The 25,229-nt window shown below is 44.1% G+C and overlaps 7 annotated features.

The window, feature by feature from the left end:
• Positions 3,470 to 3,970: an enhancer, noted in NCBI's record as "H3K4me1 hESC enhancer chr8:9106826-9107326 (GRCh37/hg19 assembly coordinates)". NCBI's record gives its function as "activates a minimal SCP1, AML or CMV promoter by ChIP-STARR-seq in naive H9 embryonic stem cells {active_cell/tissue: H9 hESC(naive)}" and the evidence as "EXISTENCE:reporter gene assay evidence [ECO:0000049][PMID:30033119]".
• Positions 10,659 to 11,159: an enhancer, noted in NCBI's record as "H3K27ac hESC enhancer chr8:9114015-9114515 (GRCh37/hg19 assembly coordinates)". NCBI's record gives its function as "activates a minimal SCP1, AML or CMV promoter by ChIP-STARR-seq in naive H9 embryonic stem cells {active_cell/tissue: H9 hESC(naive)}" and the evidence as "EXISTENCE:reporter gene assay evidence [ECO:0000049][PMID:30033119]".
• Positions 17,299 to 18,026: an enhancer, noted in NCBI's record as "NANOG-H3K27ac hESC enhancer chr8:9120655-9121382 (GRCh37/hg19 assembly coordinates)". NCBI's record gives its function as "activates a minimal SCP1, AML or CMV promoter by ChIP-STARR-seq in naive H9 embryonic stem cells {active_cell/tissue: H9 hESC(naive)}" and the evidence as "EXISTENCE:reporter gene assay evidence [ECO:0000049][PMID:30033119]".
• Positions 18,027 to 18,753: an enhancer, noted in NCBI's record as "OCT4-NANOG-H3K27ac hESC enhancer chr8:9121383-9122109 (GRCh37/hg19 assembly coordinates)". NCBI's record gives its function as "activates a minimal SCP1, AML or CMV promoter by ChIP-STARR-seq in naive and primed H9 embryonic stem cells {active_cell/tissue: H9 hESC(naive and primed)}" and the evidence as "EXISTENCE:reporter gene assay evidence [ECO:0000049][PMID:30033119]".
• Positions 18,027 to 18,807: a biological region, named in NCBI's record as "Sharpr-MPRA regulatory region 719".
• Positions 18,513 to 18,807: a silencer, noted in NCBI's record as "tiled region #719; K562 Repressive non-DNase unmatched - State 23:Low". NCBI's record gives its function as "represses a minimal TATA promoter and a strong SV40 promoter by Sharpr-MPRA in K562 cells {active_cell/tissue: K562}" and the evidence as "EXISTENCE:reporter gene assay evidence [ECO:0000049][PMID:27701403]".
• Positions 23,915 to 24,443: an enhancer, noted in NCBI's record as "OCT4-NANOG hESC enhancer chr8:9127271-9127799 (GRCh37/hg19 assembly coordinates)". NCBI's record gives its function as "activates a minimal SCP1, AML or CMV promoter by ChIP-STARR-seq in naive and primed H9 embryonic stem cells {active_cell/tissue: H9 hESC(naive and primed)}" and the evidence as "EXISTENCE:reporter gene assay evidence [ECO:0000049][PMID:30033119]".

Here is a 25,229-nt window from a genome sequence, read left to right on the forward strand (position 1 = left end):
AGCAAAATGTGGGTTCCTGCCCCCTCACCAAAGAACCTGCAAGTAGTTTCTAATTCTTTGTTCATTCAATGACTGTTTATTGGACGGCTACTATGTGCCAGATGCTATTCTGGGTGCTATACGGGTATCAGTGAATCACGTAGAGTTCCTGCTCTGTGGGGTAGACCCCTTCCTCCATCTTCACAGCCAGCATGACGTCTTCAAATCTCTCTCTCCCTGTCTATAACCCTTGTTCCCATAGTCACTCTGATCTCCTATCCACCTCTTCGTTTCATTTAAACGTATTTTGAATTTTTAAACTTTTATTTATTTATTTATTTTGAGATGGAGTCTCCCTCTGTCACTCAGGCTGGAGGGCAGTGGTGCAATCTCAGCTCACTGCAACCTGCACCTTCTGGGTTCAAGCGATTCTCCTGCCTCAGCCTCCCAAGCAGCTGGGATTACAGGCATGCGCCATGATGCCCAGCTAATTTTTGCATTTTTAGTAGAGATGAGGTTTCACCATGTTGGCCAGGCTGGTCACGAACTCCTGACCTCAAGTGATCCACCCACCTTGGCCTGGGATTACAGGCATGAGCCACCACGCCCGGCCTAAATTTTTAATTTTTTGAGATGAGGTCTTGCTCTGTTGCCCGGGCTGGAGTGCAGTGGTGCAATCTCGGTTCGCTGCAACCTCTGCCTCTAGGGTTCAAGAGATTCTCATGACTCAGCCTCCAGAGTAGCTGGGATTACAGGTGTGCACCACGATGCCTGGCTATCATTTAAAATTTTTAAAAAGTTGATTGAAACATAATAGATGTACATGTTTTCAGGAGGCATTTGAGAATTTGCTACATTCATGTAATCAAAGTGTAATTGGGATATCCATCCCATTAAATATGTGGCTTTTCTTTTTGCTAGGAAAGCCTAGCCATTTTGAAATGAACAATTGATTAATGTTAACCATAGTCGCCCTATTGATCTATCAGCCACCGGGTCTTATTTCTTCTAAGTGTGTATTTATAGCCATTAATCAACCTCTTTCTCCCTTTCTCCCTGCCACCCTTCTCAGCTCCTGGTAACCACCAATTTACTCTCCATCTTCATGAGATCCACCTTTTCAGCTCTCAGATATAATTGAGAACATGGGTTATTTGTCTTTCTGTGCCTGGCTTATTTCACTTAACATAATGACCTCCAGTTCCATTCATGTTGCTGTGAATGATAGGCTTTCGTTCTTTTCTTTCTGCCCACCTCCTTCTTACAACCTCGTTCGTTGTAATACTGGGCCCACCTGGGTAATCTGGATTCACCATCTCATTTCAAGATCCTTAATTTAATCACCTTTGCCAAGTCCCTTTTGCCATTTGAGGTAGCATATTCACAGGTACAATGGATTAAGCTGTGGGCATCTTTGGTGGGGCTGGGGTTGGGGGTGTTATTCTGTCTACCCCAAGTGTTATCCATTCAAGGAAGATTTGTTAACAGAAGACCTAGTCAGGATTCACATACGCATCTGTCCATGCTAAACCAGTATCTAAAACCAACGTACTAGAGTTTCCTGTAAGTGATCAAAGTGACAAACACAGTGTTTAGTACTCTGGGACCCACCCATTACCAGTCTACATTCCAGACCATAGGTCCTGGTTTGAGTTTGGAAACCTTAGTCTTTGGATCCAAGTTGTATTTTCATGTCAAGCTTATCAGAAGGTCCAGGTGTAACTTGCAATCTCAGTAGACCCTGAGGTCCCCACAGGGACACATGAGGTTCAACGCAGATCCTGGCAGGGTGAAGGTGTTCTTGGGTAGCCAGCAGGGCTCTTTGCAGAGTTTTACGCAGGAAACCAGAAGCTAAACTTATGTCTTTGATCCTTTGGATCCTTAGAGCCTTGAAGACAACTTTGTATAGACAAAGCTAAAACCAGAATTGTGACCGAATTACAACCGGGAGCTGTGTGTGGCAGTTGAAATGCTGAATAGTCTTTTTTTTTTTTTTTTGTCTTTTTAGTAGAGATGGGGTTTCTCCGTGTTAGCCAGGATGGTCTTGATCTCCTGACCTTGTGATCTGCCTGCCTTGGCCTCCCAAAGTGCTGGAATTACAGACGTGAGCCATCACGCCTGGCCGAAATGCTGAATAATCTTAAATGTTGAATGTCTGAAGATGTTGAACCAAGATCGATTTGCTTTTCAGTTCCTGGGAAGCCTGGATTTTCTCTGCATCTAGGCCAGGCTGTCAGCTCCACATTCCCAGGCCAAGGATTTGGAAAAATGGGGCCGCATGCCACGCTGGCATATTTTATGTGTGTGTATGTGAGTCAGCCTTATTTTAGGAATGAAAAAGTACCCCTCTGTACACTTTAGATAAGGATGACCCACAGTTTGTTACTCAGGGCAAAGTCTCTCTTCTTTTTCTTATATAATCAAATCAAATACAGTTTAATCCTGAAACTAGGCAAGAGGCAATTAGCTGAAAACTTCTTTGGCCAGCCCTCAACTTTGGGATGAACTTACAAAAAACAAACAACAACAACAAGAAAAAAACAAAAAACAATATTCTAGTCTTTTCTTTTATACAGAAGTCTCAAGTTACCTACCTGAATTGCAGCTTTTCTAAGATTATAGCATATTGATTCTTTGAAAAGATCTACTTCTTGTCCCTTATCCCAATGTAATCATTCACAGATTTTTAAACATTTATTAACCGACTCCTGTATGTTTGTAATTGAGGTTGCAGAGCACAGTTCCTGGTTTTACTGGGTTTAGGAATTAGAAGAGGAGACCAAAACCATTTTGAGTTAGAGAAGCATGGGCAATTGAAGTTGTACTCTTTGATGTTTCTGCCACAAAGGGAAAACCTTGTGAGAGAGGACACTACCTCGGAGAGTAGACACTCCAACATTGGTTGGCTGAAAGAATAAGAGCATTGTCTGGGCCTCAGAAGGGAAGACACAAGCCCAGCTAGCTCTCCCGGGGATGAGTTTACAGTACTGTGCTAGGAAGGAAAGAACAGCTCCTGGATAGAGTCCTGGATCTGGATCTGCCCCGTGTGGTGTGTGACAGGGCACAGTCACACAGTATGCTCAGTACCTCAGCTTCCCACCTAAAGCTGAGGCTTAGAAAGAAAGCCCAATTCATCCATTCTCAAGCCACTCCTGCATTTTGATTCCCATTCCTCTGTGGATGGAGAGACTCAGATAATGAGCAAGGCCTTTGTGCTCTTTAGCGGTGCTCATTGGTGGCGCCACAGGACTAACTCAGAACTCACTTTCATAAGCGCACCACAAGCCACCACTGGGGGAAATGAGTCATTCTAATCTAGAAAATGCTATGATTGATTGAGTGCTACTGAGGAGAGAAGCCATTTCTCTTACTGTCTCCTGTCTCTGAAGAGGAGGAGGAAGTAAAAGTTGAAAAACAACAGGAATGAAGTCAGTGGCAAGACCAGCCGGTGCCACTGATGACCCGGCCTGAGGTTAAAAGATTAACCCCCCAACTCTAACCACATGTGCTCTCAATCCATCACGACCCTTTCACGTGGAACCCCTTAGAGTTGTAAGCCCTTAAAAGGGCCAGGAACTCTGTCTTCGGGGAGCTCTGCTCTTAAGACGCGTGTCTGCCGACGCTCCTGGCCGAATAAAAAACCTCTTCCTTCTTTAATCCGGTGTCCGAGGAGTTTTGTGTGCGACTCGTCCTGCTACATTTCTTGGTTACAAAAACCTCTTCCTTCTTTAATCCGGTGTCCGAGGAGTTTTGTCTGCGACTCGTCCTGCTACATTTCTTGGTTACAAAAACCTCTTCCTTCTTTAATCCGGTGTCTGAGGAGTTTTGTTTGCGACTCGTCCTGCTACATTTCTTGGTTCCGTGACCGGGAAGCGAGGTGATTGAAGGACGGTCGAGGCAGCCCCTTAGGCTGCTTAGGCCTGCCCTGTGGAGCGTCCCTGCAAGGGACTCTGGCCAGCTTGAGCGACGGGCATCCTGAGAGCGCTCCCGGGTAGGCAATTGCCCTGGTGGAACACCTCGTCAGAGCAGTGTGTGGCAGGCCCCCGCGGAGGATCAACGTGGTGGCTGAACACCGGGAAGGAACTGGCACTAGAAGTCTGGACGTCTGAAACTTGGTAAGACTGGTGTTTGGAACTTGCCCACTCCATCTGAGTGGAAGCGTGGCCTGATCACCCACGGCGTGCCTCTACCAGCACTTTGGTTCTTGTTTTTGACTTGACTTGAATTGCTTGATACTTTGGTTTTGGTTTTGACCTGGCTTGGATTTCTGGATACTCCGATTTTAGTTTTGATTCTGGTCTGGTGTAAAATGAAAAAGAGTGTGTGTGCCCTTTTTACCCGTTCTTTGTTCTGTGGTGTGCGTGTGGTGTGAGCGTGGTGTTTTGTCTCCAGGAAACATGGGTCAGATACAAAGTAAGCCTACTCCGCTAGGAGCTATGTTGAAAAATTTCAAGGAAGGATTTAGTGGAGACTATGGGGTTACTATGACAGCAGGGAAACTTAGAGCTTTGTGTGAAATCGATTGGCCAACATTAGAAGTGGGTTGGCCATCAGAAGGAAGCCTGGACAGGCCCCTTACTTCTAAGGAGTGGCACAAGGTAACTGGTAAAGGATACTTAGACTAGTTCCCATACATAGACTCTTCGTTACAGCTGGTGCTAGACCCCCCACAGTGGCTAAGAGGGCAGGGAGCAGCAATGCTAGTAGCAAAGGGACAGATAGCTAAGGAAGGATCCTGCTCCACTCGCCCAGGGAAATCAACTCCTGAAGTTCTGTTCAACCCAACATCAGAAGATCCATTGCAGGAGATGGCACCAGTGATCCCACTGGTGCTCTCCCCTTACCAGGGAAAGAGGCTCCCCACTCTTGAGCCCACAGTGCTCGCGCCTCCACAAGACAAGCGTATCCCTAGGCCACCCAGAGCAGACAAGCGAGGAGGTGAGGACTCGGGAAAAACCCCTCCCTTGGCAGCTCATTTACGACCCAAAACTCTGTGGCTCACATCTGTAATCCCAGCACTTTGGGAGGCCGAGGCAGGAAAATGGCTTGAGCCAAGGAGTTCAAGACCAGCATGAGCAACATGGCAAAATCCCGTATCTAAAAAATACCAAAATTTTAGCTGGGCATTGTGGCCTGCACCTGTAGCCCCAGGTACTCCAGAGGCTGAGATGGGAGCCTGGGGACGTCAAGGCTGCAGTGAGCCAAGATCGTACCACTGCACTCCATCCCGGGTGACAGAGTGAGACCCTGTCTCAAAATGTATATATGTAAAATAAAAAACTGTAAGAAAGGAATATAATACTTTGATTCGTGAAGCATTACAGGGCCTAATAGTTGCTCTGGTCTGCTTATGAATGAAGGTTCAGCAGCAATTTCTTCTCTTAGTTAAGCCTTTTCCTCTGCTAGTTATAGAACTTAGACCTTGAAGGAGTCTCCATTATTATCTAAGTCTAGGCGAGGAGAAAAACTAAAGCAGGGTTTCCAAGTGGATACTGCTAGTTAATGGAGAGCCAGGAAGAAGACCCAATTCATCTGTTCTTCAGCCCCTCCTGTGTTCTGATCCCACTCACAGTATTCACCCAAGAAATATGTTAGGCTTGGCTGTGGCCTAGTACTGTTCTGAGTGCTGAAGATAGAGCCCTGGACAGTCAGCCCAGCCCCTTCTTTCTCCCATCTTTGTAGAGAAGATAGAAAATAAATGCACAAAACCATTCCAGGTGGCCACAGGTGCTATTAAGAAAGCAAATCATAGCAGCTTGATGGAAAATGATGAGGTGAGGTTGGTTCTTTAGGCTGAAGGACAGAGAAGGCCCGTCTGAGTAGAGGCTCAGCTGTGGTCATTGGTGGAGTCACAAGCTAAGTCAGAACTCACCTGAGGAATCATATCCAACACTGATGGGGACCCACTGCATCATCTCTCACCTTCACTGGAGGAAGAGGAGGGCGATGAGTCATTACACAGCATGCAGAAAATATAAAAACAGGCTGGGGCTGGGCACGGTGGCTCACACCTGTTAATCCTAGCACTTTGGGAGGCTGAGGCAGGTGGATCATTTGAGGTCAGGACTTTGAGACCAAACTGGCCAACACTGTGAAACCCCACAATCACAGCTACTTGGGATTGCATGAACCTGGGAAGCAGAGGTTGCAGTGAGCCAAGATTGTGCCACTGCACTACCTCCTGGGTGACAGAGCAAGACCCTGTTGGCAAAGAGAGGGAGGGGGAGGGGGAAGGGGGAGAGGGGGGAAGGGGGAGAGGGAGGAAGGAAGGAGCATGATGTCTGATTCTGCCTCCTAAAAGCATTGCTAAGTAATTCACCACAACTGAGACATACACAGATGGTAAGATCTCCTGAAACATCACTGTGAAGTATCTCGAAGCTTTTTAGACTAATGGCATTTGAAAAATCCTACTTTCTGGCCGGGCGTTGTGGCTCACGCCCGTAATTGCAGCACTTGGGGAGGTGGGCAGATCACAAGGTCAGGAGATCGAGACCATCCTGGCTAATACGGTGAAACCCGGTCTCTACTAAAAAAGTACAAAAAAATTAGCCGGGTATGGTGGTGGGCGCCTGTAGTCCCAACTACTTGGGAGGCTGGAGCAGGAGAGGCGAGAGGTGGGAGGCAGAGCTTGCAGTGAGCGGAGATCGCGCCACTGCACTCCAGCCTGGGCGACAGAGCGAGGCTCCGTTTCAAAAAACCAAAAACAAACAAAAATCCTGCATTCTAAAAATCCAATGCCTGACCTTTGCCACTATCTCCTTCAGTTTACCATTTCTGTCCTGAGGTAACAAACTTTAAAACATTGTTTTAAAGTATAATAGGATGAATTATGAATCCATTAAAGAAAACACACCCTCTCTAATTAGCAACTGTTCACAGGAAAATTGCTCACTGCTCCAGGGCTAGATAAGTGTCAGCCCAAAGTTAGAGAAATTGCACGTGCAACACGTTCCAATTCAATTATTTTGTCCTCACTCAGCCAAGTAATTGATGTCTGATCATTGTGCCTGGTGGTTGTTGATAGAACGGGACTGATTTCCCCCTGGACTGGACCAAGATCACAAGCAGCTTCTGGATTGTGATTCAAGGGACAAAAGAGTTAACAAGGCAGGTTCATTAGCAAACGTGTCCCCAGACCAATCCCCCTGAGCAAAGGGAGACAGGGCAGCCATCCCCATGGGACCAGAGCAGTGACTGTCCTGGTCACCTGCCAGCCTTCTGGCCGGGAGTTGGTACCCCCAAGCAGCCTCTTTGACTTAGTAAAACTCTCCACTTCTAGATCCAGAACCCACAGGAGCAACTTTGTGTTTGGCAAAAGGAAACCAGGTGGGGTTTCTCCCCTTCCTGTTAGAGATGTAATTATGACAGGGACAGTGGTCACTGCTTAAAAAGCCTATCTTTAGATAATTGACTGAGTGCTTCATTTCATGCTGTTTCATGACCTTGATAGCTAAATGGTGATTGAATGAAAGATGTTTAAATGTTGTTACTTCATATTCAAGAAGCATGGGGAAACGTATCCTTCAGATGCCCATCTCCACGAGGAAGTGGGGAGAATTTCTGAACAGCCGTCTGAATGACTAGGGAGTCTAATCACAGCCCAGGGATGTCACATTTCAGCACTGACTGAACAAAGAGCTAGATTATACAGCTCATTGGCATCACACATCCAAATAGGTCCCAGCCGTCCAAATCTGCTTTCGTTCAAAATTGCTGTTTGTGTAACTTAAATAATACCATAGGACTTAGTGATAGAAACATCTTATTTGGTAGAAAAACATTCATAGAAACAAAAGCCCAATGCTGAGACTGAGAAACATCAAAGAAACACCTTGCCGTATTTGGATGCTCTCATGGACCCTTGCTGGACAGCTGACAACTGCTGGGCATTGTCTTTGCATGAGTAGGCTGGAGAGGAGGAAGAAGAGGGGTTGCTTCTGCTGTGCCAGGGGTGACAGCAGTGGAAGAGTTGGAGGAAGTGGAAGGGGAGGCAGGAGAGACAGGCACACTCCGTGTTGTAACTTTTACTGAAAAAATATTGTGGTTGCAGCAGTTCAACCCCGTGTTGTTCAAGGTTAAGTGTAATTAATCAGGAATCCTGTCTCCTTTCATCTTGTGACGCTGGCCTCTATCTACATTGGGTGAAGAGAGGACTGGAGGCTCATTTGAGATATTTTAAAAGGCCAATCCTGGAAGATGGTTACAATCACTTCTACCCCATCACATCAGTCAGAACCCAAACACACAGCCTCCAACTAACCTCGAGGAAGACTAGGAAGTGATGTCTCCCTGTGTGTCCAGGAAGAGGAAACCAGATTGCTGGAGATATAGCTGGTTTCCATCCTAGGAAGCTCTTCATTTAGTGGCCCAGAAAGATCAGCAGATGCAAAAGTATGTTTATTATTAGGAGGACCAACTGTAAAAAATTGTTAGAGAGGCAGAAACAAAGATGGGAGCCCGCAGAGATGAGATTGATTAATTCTGATTAATCAATAGGGGATAGCAGACACAGGGAGGTTGCTAGAGGAACTGGGTTTGATCAGGGTGTTAATGCATTAATAGATATTTAAATGGTGGACATAAAGTACTGCAGTTAGACAAAGGCACAGATGTCAGCAGTTCATACCAGGCAGAAATAGTGAAGGACTTGGTAAGACTGGAGGAAACAGGAATGGAGGACAAAGAGGGGTCAGATTCCCAACCAAGGGAATCTTGAGTGTTTTTAAAAACAGCTTGGATTCCCTCCTGCAGGCAATGTGACACCATGAAAGCTTTTTGAATAGGTAGTGACATCATCAGATTTATGTTTTAAAAAGAGATTTTCTTTTCCATGCATTTGATTGTTGGCTGAGGTTGGTGGGAAGCTTAATGGCTGATAATTGGGGATGTTGCTGTTTCATAACAGGCAAATCTTGTCTTCCAAGAATTTAAAACACTTTGCATGCATTGCAGAAACTCATTAATCTTCAAAGGCTTCAAGAGTGGCACAGATGAATCCAATATTCCTATATGACCTACTTTACTGAACTGGAAAAACTGCATGCTGACAGCACAAATGATCTGTAAGAAGAGATGCAGGTTGTATATGTCAGCCTCGCAGAGAACTCTTTCCAAATACCACTGGGAGAACCAGAGCAACATGACAACTCCACAGTATAGCCCAAAATACTGAAATTAGATTGCAGGGATGTGCAGAAACCCCTTGTGAATGTTGTCATTGGCACCTTTGAATTCTAACCTTAGCTTGTTACTGATCAGCTAATAATAGCCTGTATCTTAAACTATAACCAAAAGGTAAATATCCATTTATTCATGGATTCTCAATCCTTCTGCTGCTTTATAGTATTGAGAGTTAAATGCATTTGTTACAGTATTTGTCTAAATACATGGAAATTTAGCTTAAGTCCTAACATAGATGAAGCTATTTTAGTTTCTTCTGTGCCTCCTCAACTAAGGTCCCAAACCAATGCTTTTCTTCCCCACACCCCCAGTCCGGAGGACAGTAGAAAATACGGCAACATGAGAATCCAGATTTTATATGATCTTTTTTCAGAGAAGTTTTCACACTTCACTTGGATGAAGTTACACTTGGTTCTCCACCCAGTGGCCACTTCTTTCCTTCCTCCTTACAGTCAAGAGTCCTCATTTTGTCCAGATGTTCACTTTTTTCTAACCTGACTCAGGAGCAAACGCAAATTAGTCTAATCTTATCATGACCACCCCGTGCCCCTTGTCAGCAATGAGTTTGGGGTGATCTCATCCTGGTCACTTGGGCGTGAGTAGCCCAACTCTGGGTCTGATCCTGCAAATGACGTTCTGGTGTAGCCCAACTCTGGGTCTGGTTACATCAGTGACTTCACAATGTCATCGGGACCCTGGGCTCCTGTCTTCCTGCCCTGTCACCTTCAAGGTACTAGCATTGCTTCCACTGGGCCCTCCAGGGCTGCAAGGTGGCCACTATGGTTCTAGGCACCATATCCTGACACAATAACAACCAATGGAAAAAGAGGAACAAATGTTTGCATTACTGCTCTTCAAAATCAAGGTAACATTTCCAAGATGGTCCCCAACAGGCCACTGCTCACGCAGTGATCTGGGCTACACCAGAACCTCCTGGCACTCCAGCCTGGGCAACAGAGTAAGATCCTGTCTCAAAAAATAAAAAATAAAAAAGGACTAAAGGCTGCCAACGAATATCAGAAACAACCATTTGTTATAAACTGCCACTGACTGGAAGCCTTACTGATAATATAAACAGTTGATGAACACACACTTTGTATGTTACTGTATTATATACTATATTCTTACAATAAAGTAAGCTAGAGAAAAGAAAATGTTTAGGAAATCATAAGGAAGAGACAATGGATTTACTATTTATTAAGTGGAAATGGATTATCATAAAGGTCTTCATCCTCATTGTCTCTCTTTCTCTTTCTCTCTCTCTCTTTTTCTTTCTCTTTCTCTTTCTCTCTTTCTTTCTTTCTCTTTGTTTCTCTTTCTCTTTCTCTCTTTTTCTCCCTCTCTGTCTCTCTTTCTCTCTTTCTTTCTTTCTCTCTCTCTCTTTCTCTCTCTTTTTCTTTTTCTTTCTCTCTTTTTCTCCATTTTTCTCTCTTTCTCTCTCTTTCTCTCTTTCTCTCTCTTTCTCTCTCTTTCTCTCTCTTTCTCTCTCTTTCTCTCTCTTTCTCTCTCTTTCTCTCTCTCTTGCTCTCTCTTTCTCTCTCTCTCTCTTGCTCTCTTTTTCTCTCTCTCTTGCTCTCTTTCTCTTTCTCTCTCTTTCTCTTTCTCTCTCTTTCTCTTTCTCTCTCTTTCTCTTTCTCTCTCTTTCTCTCTCTTTCTCTCTCTTTCTCTCTCTCTCTTTCTCTCTCTCCTTTTATAAACTGTCCAGTTGGGAGTTTCGTTACTTGAAACAGAAACATCATAACCAACCACAATGGTAATTTTCACCATTTTTTTGCATCCCAATGAGAAAAGCAGATGGTGAAAGCAGAGCTCTCGCATTATAAAACTCTAGGATAGATCATCACCGGTGCCCCCCGGAGTTTCACAAAGCAGGTTCCAGAAAGCAGTGAGCAAATGGCTTGCTGCAGGCTGCAAAATGGATCAGCGCCAAAGCCAGAATCAAGCTGAGACAGTGTTTTCTCTAGAGGGCCAGCTAGAGTTTGGAGCTCGCCACACCAGGCTCGGGTTCTTTTTGGTTATGACTTTGACCTCTGAGCATCTTTAAGCTTTAGCTTTTCTCATCTGTAAAATATACACCTCGCGGGTTGTGAAAATACTAAATAATGCACGCTGAATTATCTAGCATAATGCTTACTGGTCCTTTCAGGAAAGGGCAGCTTTTATTTTATTTTATTTTATTTATGTATTTTTCTTTGTTTTTTGAGACAGGGTCTCACTTTGTCACCCAGGCTGGAGTGTAGTGGCGTGATCTGCAGCCTCAACCTCCCGGGCTGAATTGATTCTCCGGCCTCGGCCCCCAGAAGTAGCTGAGACTACAGGCACACACCACCAAAACCGGCTAATTTTTGTATTTTTTTTGCAGAGATGGGGTTTTACCCTCTTGCCCAGGCTGGTCTCTAAGTCCTGAACTCTAGTGATCTGCCAGCCTCAGCCTTCCAAGGTGCTGGAATTACAGGCGTGAGCCACTGCACCTGGCCAGCAGCTTTTATTTTAATGACTACAGTGATTCGTAGACTTTTTCTCCCTCAGACCCTTGATGGCAGCAAAGAACCTCTGGTCCATTTACCCTCTTATTGTCACTTGATACCATGAATTCACAGGACAGAAGGGAAGGATATGACTCCTTGGATGAGACTCAATTGAAAGCTATTGTTAGTAAGTCATTAATTCGTGCTTAAACACCCAAGTTTATACACCACCATATCATATCTGGGAAAGCTCAGATGATCAGAAAAGTTCCTGCAACCATACCTGAGAATATATTCTCTCAAGTTATACTGTCACTTACAAACTTAGAGGAAAAACTAGCTTTGTTAGTCATTTCGAGTACTGTGCTCCTTTCCACACATACCCCCTGTTAATTTTTTTCCTAACTACTTGTTAGCCTCCAGTTTGAGAGGAGGATAAAAAAAACCTGGAGTGTTCTTGCTTTGAATGGTAATTGTTAATTAGAACCCCATTTTATTATAATTGTACAATTCATTATGCTGGGCACTTCATTAGAAGCATTGTAAAAATTCTGACAACTTGATTATGTTACACTGAATATAGAAATGAATCCGATTTAGAGCTCCACTGTTTCTTGAGGGTACTTTCTAATTAATATACATCTGAGAAGTCAGAAAAGGGAGAGTCTCCATATTTTATTCTGGGGGTCATGACTGGGGATGTGCTGTTTTTTTTTTTTAAAGAAAATTATTTTGAAATAGGAAGCTTTCTTTAGAACAGAAAGAAAAAACATGACCCATAAACCTGAAATAGTCACAATGAGGCCACATCTGTCTTTACAAACACAAGCAGCTCAGCATTATCAGCAACTAGTACTCAACCAAATCTTTTTAGAGGACTTTTGGGTAAAATCCTGTGAAGGACTTTGGGTAAAGACAAGATTGACTACTTTCATTTATCTCCTTTTCCTCTTGAAAGCCAACAAAAATAACAGCAATGGGGCTTAAACAGAGCATACGCCCACAAGGACAAAGAAAATGATGGAGGAGACAAGAACAACACAGTCCTGGAAGCTGGAGGGAGGAGGACACATTCAGCTGACTTTGCAGATCCAAAAATGCAGACTTCTTCTCAGCTGGTAGAGTGGGAGGTGAAAAGCAAACTTATTACACTGCAGAACACCCCAAATACTCAGGAATTGATGGTTCCAGGAATTGCAGCAAAGGTGGGGCTATAAAAACTCAGCTGGGAGTCTGCTTAGGAAGCATTTGTCTTCCGTTTTCTCCTTCATCCTGCACAGCTGAGGCCCTGCCCATCATCCACACTGACATGAGTTGAGAGGTTTCTAGTCTCTGGAGAGGTTGAAGCAGAGTTTCTCTGGACTGGGGAGACTGTAGAATTAGCTGATGGCAAAGATACCATAACAGGGTGATCAAATGGACATTTACATATTTAATGATAAGACCTACAAGCCCTCTTAGTTTACCAAAATACTGGCAGCCAGGCCTAGACCCTAAGCATGAGATTGCGAGAGCGGCCTTTGAGGAATCTGACCAGCCCAAGGAGAAGTACCGGAAGATATTGTTCTCAGGAAGTCCTTAAGAATTCCGCTGGTCAGAGCAATGGTTCTGGTTGAGTGGTTTTCTGATCTTTAGTATTATCATCACCTGGGACCTTGTTAAACATGAACGTTCTTGCCCCCTGCTCCAGACTGACTGAATCTGAAACACTGAGGGTGGCAGCCTGAGATTTAGTTTGGCAAGACCCCCAAGTACACACTGTAGTTTGAGAACCACTGCTCATCAGCAAAGCTTACTATGAATGCAAAGTTTCCTTGAAGTGTATGTCTTACATATATTGATTGATGTCTTATGTCTCCTTAAGTTGTATAAAACCAAGTTGTGGGGCCAGGTGCTGTGGCTCATGCCTGTAATCCCAGTACTTTGGGAGGCCGAGACTGGTGGATCACCTGAAGTTTGGAGTTTGAGACTAGCCTGGCCAACGTGGCAAAACTCTGCCTCTACTAAAAATACAAAAATTAGCCAGGTGTAGTGGCAGGCACCTGTAATCCCAGCTACTCGGGAGGCTGAGGCAGCAGAATAGCTTGAACCTGGGAGGTGGAGGCTACAGTGAGCTGAGATCACACCATTGCTCTCCAACCCAGGTGACAGAGCAAGACTCCATCTCAAAAAAAAAAAAAGTTGTGGCCCGGCCACTTTTGGCACACGTTCTCAGGATCTCCTGAGGGCTGTGTCACAGGCCATTGGTCACTCATATTGGTCTCAGAATAAATTTCTTCAGATATTTTACAGAGTTTGGCTCTTTTTGTTGACACATCCAATGTGGAGATGGAATAAACATAATCAAAGGTGAGGGTAAAATAAAGACATTTGGAAACATGCTGGGGTTTCAGAGCTCTTGGGTTGAGGGGCTAAATGTTGTCAAAAGACTTGGACAGTGCTCACTGCCATGGTATCAAGTGCCAGTTCACAGGGGCGCTGATCAAAGAAGTGCATGAAGCAAAGACTTTGACCCTTTAGTCACTATTTTGTCCCTCTTGTCTATTCTCACCTCGCTTGCATCCATGCTCCATCTTGTAACCAGAGAGTTCTTTCTAAACCACAGATTCAGTGAGGCCTGGGCCTTGCTTAAAGCCCTTTCACAGCTCTCCATTGCATTCAAGGTAAAGTTCAAGATGGTGCACAAGGGCTTTCCTAATCCACCCCTTCAGTGTTATCTCCTGGTAGTCTCCTCTAGGCAACCTTCACACCCACTTGTGACAGGCTGGTAGCTCCTAACAGTGTGCTGTGGTTTCATGAGGCCACACCTTCACATATGCAGTTCTCTGTGCTCGGAACTTTCTCTTGTGCCCTAACCCAGCTGATGTAACAATAAGTCATTGTTATGTTGTAACTGCGTTTCCCACTCAGCTCTGGAGTCATCTCCCTTCTAGAGGCCTTTTTCTGCCTTTCAGTCAGATTGAGCTGCTGTTCCTGTGTCCCCCATGCATCCAGGGCTCTACCACAACACACCGTTTGTAGCACAGCAATCATTAGCTATTTGTCTTCTCGACTCACATGTGAGATTCTTGAGGATAAGAAATGTTTTACGTTTCTTATGTAGACATCCTGAGGAATAGCATCCTTGGGATATGCCAGTGTCCCTGGGAAAGAGTAGGTGCCCAGTCTAAGTCTGTTGAATGAATGCCTATCAATACCCTTCTCTAATGGAGACACTGGGAACAATTCCTATGTCATGTCATTGTTAGAATTTAACTCATCAGTGCCCTGGGCTTAAGGGCAAATGGGGCAATTACACAGGGTATGTTGGGCTTACTATGAAGAGTGCCTATTGCCCTGTACTGTGTATGGCAGCAGGACACCAAGGAGAACCAGCAAGGCAGATAGAAGCAGGGATCTGATATTTTTTCAGTGCCAACAGCACAATGTGGGATGTACAGAAGATGGCACTAAACATCAGCTCTGGAAAGCATGTCTCCACAATGAAAAAGGTTGAGGCCGGGTGCCGTGGCTCACGCCTGTAATCCCAGCATTTTGGGAAGCTGAGGCAGGCCGATCATGAGGTCAAGAGATCAAGACCATCAGCCAACATGATGAAACCCCATCTTTACTAAAAATACAAAAATTAGCTGGACATGGTGGTGTGCACCTGTAGTCCCAGCTACTCAGGAGACTGAGTCAGGAGAGTCGCTTGAACCCGGGAGGCAGAGGTTGCAGTGAGCCAAGATTGCACCACTGCACTCCAGCCTGGTGACAGAGCGAGACTCTGTCTCCAAAAAATAAAAATAAAAAAATAAAAAAAATAAAAAAAAAAAGGTTGCAGATCCAATCCAATAAACCCAGTTTATTAATTAGGAGTATTCTCATTCCGTTGAATAAAGAAGTTTCCAAAACTGACACACCTTCATTGAGTTTGCCAAATTTGGTTAGTGCCACTCTTGATTACCAGGGCTACTCTTTTTCTAGAGTTTATTAGTCCCTGATTTCTGTTGGCCTACTGTAATATTAAGGAACATTAGTGTTGGTGACTGGAGGTCCCCATAACCTCACATTATTTTCTTCACTGGATGAAGACATTCCTATAAGAGCCAAATCCGTAGTCATTATGAATCACAGCCACGGACGTCAATATATCATGGAGCACAGCACGCTGGTCTCTGTTTAGAGAAACACTTGCATATTGTGCATTGCAGCAGATTCTCCCAACTCTTAAAGTTATAAGCCAGTCTTTCTTTTAGTGTCTTACCTTGTTTCCAAGGATCTTCTGAACGCCTTTAATGGCCTCATTTAGATTTCTGGAATTAAAAGACTTATAGATAATCTATTGCCCTGTAGTATTTACACTTCTCCCGTTGAAAGAGATGAGTTACCAACCTGTAAGACCTGAATGCAGGCTCTGATCACTGGGATCTCCTCCCCTGAGCACCGGGTCTGTAGACAAGTTATATGTCTCCTGGTTCTCACTCGTCCTGCCTTGGGCTGTGCCACTCATGGCTGACTCTCCCCTTGGATTCAACAAGAGCCATACCTAGGTAAGGTCAATTCAGAGATTATCCTCTCCCTCCACATGAGAAGGGAGAGGGGAGAGAACACAGCAGAGTCAAACATCCATATAAAAGACTAGAAGTGCAATCTAGAAAATACACTGGCGTCAGCACACAGGGCCTTATTTCTAACTCCATATCCATGTACATCCTTCCCAAACATTTTTCTTAATGTTCTGTTCATCCAGTTCTTGTCTTTATTTTTAAAAGGCTGGTCTGGAGAACTGAAGAAAATCAACCCTTCAACCCGGCAGGGTCCCTGGAGAGTGGCTAGAGAGAGGTTAACCCTAAGATAAGACATCATGGGGGAACCTACTGGAAGCACAGAGCATCCAGAGCAAACACTGTCACTTCAAGATGTCTTTTCAATATTTACACTGAGTTGCTGCCAGGCTCTTATTTCCCCTAGTTTGCATTGCAGACCATATCTCTGCTTGGGTGCCCGGTGTGCCATATATATATATATATATATATATATATATATATATATATATATATTTTTTTTTTTTTTTTTTTTTTTTTTTTTTTTTGATATGGAGTCTTGCTCTGTCACCCAGGCTGGAGTGCAATGGCTTGATCTCAGCTCACTGCAACCTCCACCTCCCAGGTTCAAGCCATTCTCCTGCTCCTGCCTCAGCCTCCTGAGTAGTTGGTATTAGAGGGACATGCCAACACACCCAGCTAATTTTTGTACTTTTAGTAGAGATGGAGTTTCACCATGTTGGTCAGCCTGGTCAGGAACTCCTGACCTCTTGATCCATCTGCCTCAGCATCCCAAATTGCTGGGATTACAGGTGTGACCCACCACTCCTGGCTGCCCCATATTCTTAAGACACCAAGCAAAGCTTTCTGTTCTTCACGTTTTTCATCTTGTCTCAGTTCTAGGATTTCTATATAGCATTGACTTGGGGGATGGGCCAGGGGTCTGTCTTAAAGCTGAGTTTGCAAAGCAAGCAGCCTCTTAAAAACTTGTATAGCAAAGTTATGGAATCAGCCTAGGTGCCCATCAGTGGTGGATTGGATACAGAAAATATATATACACACTGTGGAATACTATGCAGTCATGAAAAAGAATGAAATTATATCCTCTGCTGGAATGTGGATGCAGCTGGGGGCCATTATCCTAAGTGCATTAATGCAGGAACAGAAAACCTAATACTACATGTTCTCACTTATAAGTGGGAGCTAAACATTGAGCACATATAGGAACAATAGACACTGGTGACTACTAGAGAGGGGAGGGAGGGAGAGAGGCAAGGGCTGAAAAACTACCTACTGGGTACCATGCTCAGTACCTGGGTGACAGGATCATTCCTACCCCAAACCTCAGAATCACACAATATACCCATGTAACACACCTGCACATAAACCCTCTGAATCTAAAAGGAACATTGAAATAAAAAACCTAATGTTTGATACCATTTTCAATAATATTTTTCAAGACTTATTTACTCTAAATGTAAGATTAAATATTACTTGCTCCTATAAAATGTTATTTTTATCATTTTTATTTGGAGTGATTTGAAGGATTGAGGGAGATCAGGGCTGTGGGCCGCGGTTGGCCCTACATGCTGGGGAGATGACAGGACAGAGGCATTCTTGGCAATGGGTAACCTTGGAGGCTACGTATAAGCCATTTCAGCTGCCTCTCAGTGAGTCCCCCGTTAGAAACTGCTCCCAGAAACTACCCAGTTGGGCCCGTTAGAGCAATTGTGTTGCAACGCTACTTTATCAAAGCCCTGCTCTTAAAGAGATTTATCAGAGATTACCCAGTCCTTCTGACCTCCTTTAGAGATCCCTAAATTTGCCAGAGTAGGTATTCTGAAAATAACACAATGATGCACTCCTATTTTCTTTCTCAGTTTCATTGGGCTGAGCCTTAAGACAGGACATAGATCCACTGGCTTTTTTGTAAACATGTATAGCGTGGTGGTTGGGAGCCTGGGCCTTGGGGTGAGATAAAAATAGGCTCAGAGCCTGTCTGTGCTACATGCCAAGTAAGTGATCTTGGGAAAGCCATCCAGAGAATGGGACAAACTAATCTATCTCAACTAACAGTTGTGAGGATTGGATGAGATAATGTACACAGTGATTAAGCACATTAAATTCTCAATCAATGACTGATTATTGATAAAACTAACCAGGGACTTTCTAAGAGTTTCCTCCTAGAATAAGGCAGTGAAGATTTTTTTCCCTCTGAGTTTATGTATCTGGGAAACAAGGCAAAAATTCCTCGATTCCTTTGTTTATATTTTCCCATTCGCTACCTCCCATATTGGTCTGGAGACACATCTACAAACAGTTCAGTTTCAACAAAAGCCTTAAATACTCATGGCATGAATTGGAAGAAAACGGACACTGATAGATGGTTAAAGAAAATTTAAAAGACCAATCAAAATGCAAATATAAAGCATTTTTATGCAGAAATGGTCCCTAATCTGTCTCTTTCACCAGCCATAGAGTGATAAGAATGACAATAGGCATTATTTAGTTGAGTGCTAACCTCTGCTAGGGCCTTTTCTCAGCAGATTACTAAGGCTTTCTTATTTAATCCTCATGGGAATCCTAGGAGTTAGGTACATTTGATATTCTCCCTTTGAAGATAAGAAAATTGGAGCCTAGAGATAGTAACTAAGCTATGAGGGCAGACAGCAGCTCCATGTATGGGAGAACAGACCAACAGTTTGGGTTCTTGAAAATATCAGCCTCATATATTAGAGACTTTCCACCTTTTTCGTCCTCTACGGCTTCTAGAAAAAGGTTGGGAAATGGTTAGTTGCCTTCTTAGTCCCAGGTAGCTAATAGAAATCTATATCACAGGGATATTTCTCTACATAGCAGTAGTTGGACCATGAGTACACTGAGCCAGAGAACACGGGAGGCCAGTAGAACGCTCTGATTTGGCTCTAGTGTTTGTCTTCCACCCTTCAAACCTTTAAAGCCAAGGACTTCACTTCAGGTTCTCTTATTTTTCCCAAAAGGGCTGCAGAGCAAAGCAACTATTCTAGGCCTGCCACTCACATTTATTCACTTCTTAAAAAAAAAAGAACTTTCAGTTCCCTCTTTATGAAATTATTCCCAACAGATACATCAGGAAGAAGCCTGAATTAGATGATGTGCAAAGTCCTAACCAACTCTGAAATTCTGGGATTCTGTGATTATGTAAGTTATTGTTATATAAAAGATAAATGCATCACAGATTTTAAGGGAATCCAGAAATGTCATTGACTATTAGTACCTTCCTGAAATCCCTTTTAGGAATTGACAGTTGGAGTTGCATTTCCATTAAGCTGAGGGGACATTAGAAGGGAATGATGCTGAACTGGCTCCTTTGGGTGGCCCCATGGTTGGCCCCAGCACTCTTCTTTGACTGCTGCCATTGGACCCACAGGGAGTGCCTAGAGAGAGGGTTCACCTGAGAGAAGACATCGTGGGGAAAGCAGGAGCTTGGAAAAGAAACCTGCCAGGGGTCAGTTGTCAGCTCTGTGACTGACTCATACCACCACCCTAACCTCTCAGTTTTCTCATCTGCAAAGTGGAGAAAACACCATCCTATTCACAGGGCTGCTGTGGGAATGAGGGGATCCACTTAGGTGCCAGCACACACACAATGCCCATCTCGTGGTAAGCACTGTGTCATCGGTAGCTGTTAATAGTAGCATTGCTCACAAAGTCAAATTGCCCTGCCTGTTGGAAAGGCGCGCAGTGTATAAAGGAGGGTTGGTGGTGACTTTCATAGCCATGGGATTTCACTTTTATAAGCAGTGACTTCCATGGATTTGCAGGAACCAAACTAGGGTGTAGTTAGGGCTATCCCTACTGTCATTTCACAAATCATATTTAATTTTTTTAATTGAATTTATTATCAATTGGAGTTATTGGTTATTGCCAATTATAAAGAATTTTCTGAGAGGTAAAGTTAACCCAGGATGGACTGGTCATCTCAGTGGTGTCGGTTCGTTCCTAAGGCAAGTAGCTTAAGGATAAGATGCTGGAACATTGCAGAAAAGACAGAAGGACTGGACATCGATGATGCACATCAGTGACTTTAAGTTTCCTGAGATTCCAAACAGGGACAGATCTGGGATCCCAAATATGAATCACAGATCTCTAAGCAGCCCTGGAAGTTTATAATTTTTGCTTTAAATTTCTCTGATCTTACAGATTATCCATTGAGTAATTGATAATCTACAAACAAATATTAGAAATAAGCCCCCTCTAATTTATTAACCTACAAGTTTTCCTTGGTGAGTTTTCTTAAAACTTGGTTCCTGTAATTTTACTCATGCAGCTCCCTGGGAAAGACCTAGGCCCTGGTCTTTGCGAGGAAAGCAAATGCTTCCTAACTCATCCCTGTGGCTGCAAATTCTAGGCAAGGAGGCAGCAGTGCTACTTATAGATAAGAGTCAACATTTGCAAAGTTAATGTGTCAAACCCACAAAATTCAAAAAATTTCCATGCAAGGAAGAAGGAGGAGGACAAATGCCTGCCAGGCCATTGCATTCATGGAATCGATGCCAACTCTGGACCTCAGAGTACTGGACACTCATACACTTCATTGGGATTGCTCAAGTGTTGACATAGCCTTGTAAGCTGAGATCCTTCAAAGGAGCGAAAAGAAAAAAGAAGTTGAGAGGAACGTTTGCAGGGAGGTTTCCCTTGGGTCCCAGTTGCCCAGCCGAATTAGCATCAAAACCTTGCCCTGGAAGAGGGTTGTGAGAGTTGAGTTGCTCAGCCTCACACAATGATTGCAGTCAATATGGAGACTGCCTGGCTTTCATTTGGAAGAAATTTACATTTGATCTCACCCTTAACCCTGAACTTCCACCCTCCAACCAACTTAACTGTTATCATGCTGAGGCCCATGTATTCACAAAAAGGCCTTCACTGTTCTTTACCCTGGTAACTTGACAATAAAATTTCTCCCTCAATCTTTCTCCCATCCCAAGCAAAACCCTCCCTCTTGAGTTAAGGCTGGTATCAATAAGGGGTTTGGAGGAGAAGGCCGAGGAAATTAATTCACACTGAAAAGCAAGCAGCTGATAGATCTCTGAAGCAGTTTTAATACTTTTTAGAAACTCAAGCGTCCCAGTTTCACAGTTTCAGGGTTGAAAATGTAATGTCTTGAAGGATGGCATTGACTTCACAAAGATCAAGGACAAAATAGAAATTTTCCATTGTGGTAGTTACCTCCATTTCCTGTGCTCCTTAAGCTGTACTTGGAAGGGGACTGTTTGATGGTAAGGAAATGTTGCATCTGGGAATAGCAGATCATACTGTTAATCCCCAAATATTCAGAGCTCCACAATCAGAATGGACAAGAATTCTGGAAGCCTCAGGATGGAAATGCAAGAAAGAGATTGTGAGCCCACTCAGGGCCCTTTCTTTCCCAGGGCCTGTCCTGGGACCTCCTGGACATCCCTTCCCAGGTTCTCAGGGATGGGCCTCCTGCTCCTATCCATTCTACATTTCCCCCCCCTCCCTACTCTCAGCACCAACTTGGGAGCTTCTTTTATCCTTTGTGAGTGTGAGGGAGAGGAGTACCCCTTGATGATAGAATTTTGACATTGGAATAGTAAATGTTAAAATTTATTGAAGGCTTACCATGTATTGCTACTGCTGTAAATGCTTTATTTCATTCATTCAACAAGTATTTCTAGAGTGCTTCCCATGTGCCTGCCACTTCTAAGTGGTATTTATTCATTCATTCATCTAGTGCTTGACCTCTTATGTGTGAAGTCTTGCTATAAATACTTTTCATTTGTTAATTCACCCAGCAAGAATCAGTTGAGTCTTTCCTATGTTTTTTTGTTTTGTTTTTTGAGACTGGGTCTCGCTCTGTCACCCAGGCTGGAGTGCAGTGGCGCGATCTCGGCTCACTGCAAGCTCTGCCTCCTGGGTTCACGCCATTCTCTTGCCTCAGCCTCCCAAATAGCTGGGACTACAGGCTCCCACCACCACACCCAGCTAATTTTTTTGAATTTTTTAGTAGAGACGGGATTTCACCGTGTTAGCCAGGATGGTCTCAATCTCCTGACCTCATGATCTGCCTGCCTCGGCCTCCCAAAGTGCTAGGATTATAGGTGTGAGCCACCGCACCCAGCCCCTATGTTTTAAATACTATTTTTTCATTCATTCATTCATTCATTCATTCATTCATTCATTCATTCATGTATTTTTCTGAAAGCCTTCTGTATGCCAAGCACAGATTTAGGCTCTGGGGATATAGGGATGACCCACACAGAACCTCTGTCTTTGTGGAGATGGTGCTTTACTGGGGGTTGCCAGGCAAAGCACAAATAAACAAGAAAACAGGTAGAACATCAGGTAGTATTGAGTCATATGGAGAAAAAGAAAGCAGATGAGGGGAACAGATGATGCAGGTGGTAGATATTGCTGTAATTAGGCCTCATTGATGAGGTGGCATTTGAGCAGGGGCCTGAAGGAAGTGAACAACCCAGGACAAAATCAGCCAGAGGAAACCAAGACCCCAAGGTGTGAGCAGCTTCGCATACTTGAGAAAAAGGAAGGAAAGGAAGGAAGGAAGGGGGGAAGGAGGGAAGGGGGGAAGGAGGGGGGGAGGGGAGGGGTGGGGAGGAAGGAGAGTGGTGTATGAGACCAGAGGTAGCTGGGAGAGAAAGTTCGTGTGGGAACTTGCAGGGCTCTAGGAGGGCATAGGCTTTTACCCTGAGTTGGACAGGCAGCACAGCAGAGAATTGTGAGCATAGGCATGGCGTGTTTTAAAAGCCTCCTCTAGTGATGGTTATGGTAATTAGCTCAATTTAATCATTCCACGATGTCTACATATATTAAAACATCACATTGTACCCCACAAATAGATGCAATTATTTGTCAATAAAAATAAAATGAAAGCATCCTCTGGCTGCTGGGTTGAAAATAGACTGGGACATCAGGGTGAACATAAGGGGGCCAATTAAATGGCTACTGCAATTATCCAGGCAGGAGGTGATTGTGGCTCTCGCCTTGTGGTATTAACAGTGGAAGTGGTGAGAAGGGGTCGGTACCTGGTTACATTTTGAAGGTAGATCCCACAGGATCTGCTGATGGATTGGATGTGGTACACAAGAGGAAGACAGAAGTCAGTGACGTTTCCAAGGACTTTTTCCTGAGCAACTAGAGTAATAGAGTTGATTTTTACTGAAATGGGAGAAATTGCCCAAGAAGCTATTTAGAGAAGAGGTGAAATGGGAGTTTGGGTTTGCATATTATTAAGTTTGAGATGCTTATGACAGATCTAACTTGAGAACTTGAGGGAAGCATTGGGTTAGTCTGCAGTCCATGGGAGAGTGCAGCCTAGGAATACAAAGGTGGGCTTAGATGGCATTTAACATCACAAGACCAGAAAGATGAACTGAGTGTTGAGTGAGGTTGGAAGAGAAGTCCCAGCACTGAGCTCTGGGGCATGCTGATGGCAAGAAAATGAGGAGGAATCATAAAGAAAAAGAGATCAAGATACAACTAGTGAGGCAGAAGGAAAACCAGAATACACTGTTATTCTGAGAGCCAAGGAAAGCAGTGCTCCATAAAAGGGACAATCAACTATGTCAAGTGCTGTGGATAGGCCAAATAAGATGAGGCCTAACAAATTTCCGTTGGGATATTACAGCAGCCTTAATAAGAGCTGTTCAGATGAGTGATTATCGGGGAAACCCACCCCCGATAATTCAATGGTATTTCACGTAGGTTCTTTTCTATTTCCCTAAGTGTCGGCCGGTCTGAGAAATAAAGGGACAGAGTACAAAAGAGAGAAATTTTAAAGCTGGGTATCCAGGGGAGACATCACATGTCGGCAGGTTCCGTGATGCCCCCTGAGCCGTAAAACCAGCATGTTTTTATTAGCAATTTTCAAAGGGGAGGGAGTGTATGAATAGGGTGTGGGTCACAGAGATCACATGCTTCAAGGGTAACAAAAGATCACAAGGCAGGAGGTCAGGGCGAAACTAGAATCACTAATGAACTTCCACGTCCCACTGTGCATGCATTGTCAGGGTTCAAGAGCAGAGAACTGGTCTAACTAGAATTTGCCAGGATGGAATTTCCTAATCCTAGCAAGCCTGGGGGTGCTGCAGGAGACTAGGGCGTGTTTCATCACTATCTACATCTGCATAAGGCAGACATTCCTAGGGCAGCCATTTTAGAGTCCCCCCCGGGAGTGCATTCTTTTCCCAGCGCTGTTAATTATTAATATTTCTTACTGGGGAAATAATTAAGCGATACTTCTCTTACCTGTTTTCAGTAATAAGAGAAATATGGCTCTGTCCTGCCCAGCCCGCAGGCAGCCAGACTTTAAGGTTATCTCCCTTGTTCCTGAACATCGGTGTCATCCTGTTCTTTTTTCAAGGTGCCCACATTTCATATTGTTTAAACAATTTGTGCAGTTGACTCAATCATCACAGGGTCCTGAGGCAACATACATCCTCAGCTTATGAAGATGACGGGATTAAGAGATTAAAGACAGGCGTAGGAAATCACAAGAGTATTGATTGGGGAAGTGATAAATGTCCATGAAATCTTCACAATTTATGTTCAGACACTGCAGTAAAGACAGGCATAAGAAATTATAAAAACATTAATTTGGGGAACTAATAAATGTCCATGAAGTCTTCACAGTTTATGTTCTTCTGCCATGGCTTCAGCTGGTCCCTCCGTTCGGTGTCCGTGACTTCCCGCAACAAGTGATGAGAAGACAAGATTGATGAGGGCATGGCAGGAAATAATGATATTTATGTGTTTAATTCCATGAGGGATGTTGTGTTGTTATTACTGTTTTACAGTTGAGAGAACTGAGGCACACGAAGGGTTGAACTCGGCTGGGACTGGAAGCCAGATAGTCTGGCTCCAGCTGGCATGCCCATCAAAATGCTATGAGCTTTGAACCTGAACACTCTCCGACTCGCCAGTGGTAGTGGAGAGAAGGCCCTGGCATCTTAGGACAACTATAGTTAGTTAGAGGGAACAAGGGAAGGAGAGAGAATGTGGCTCCCCCATTCGTCCTTGCTTCTGTAGAGGGATGCTGGTTAAGAAAGCCACAGGA

Source organism: Homo sapiens, chromosome 8 (assembly GCF_000001405.40).
Source record: "Homo sapiens chromosome 8, GRCh38.p14 Primary Assembly".
In the NCBI taxonomy this organism is placed as follows: domain Eukaryota; kingdom Metazoa; phylum Chordata; class Mammalia; order Primates; family Hominidae; genus Homo; species Homo sapiens.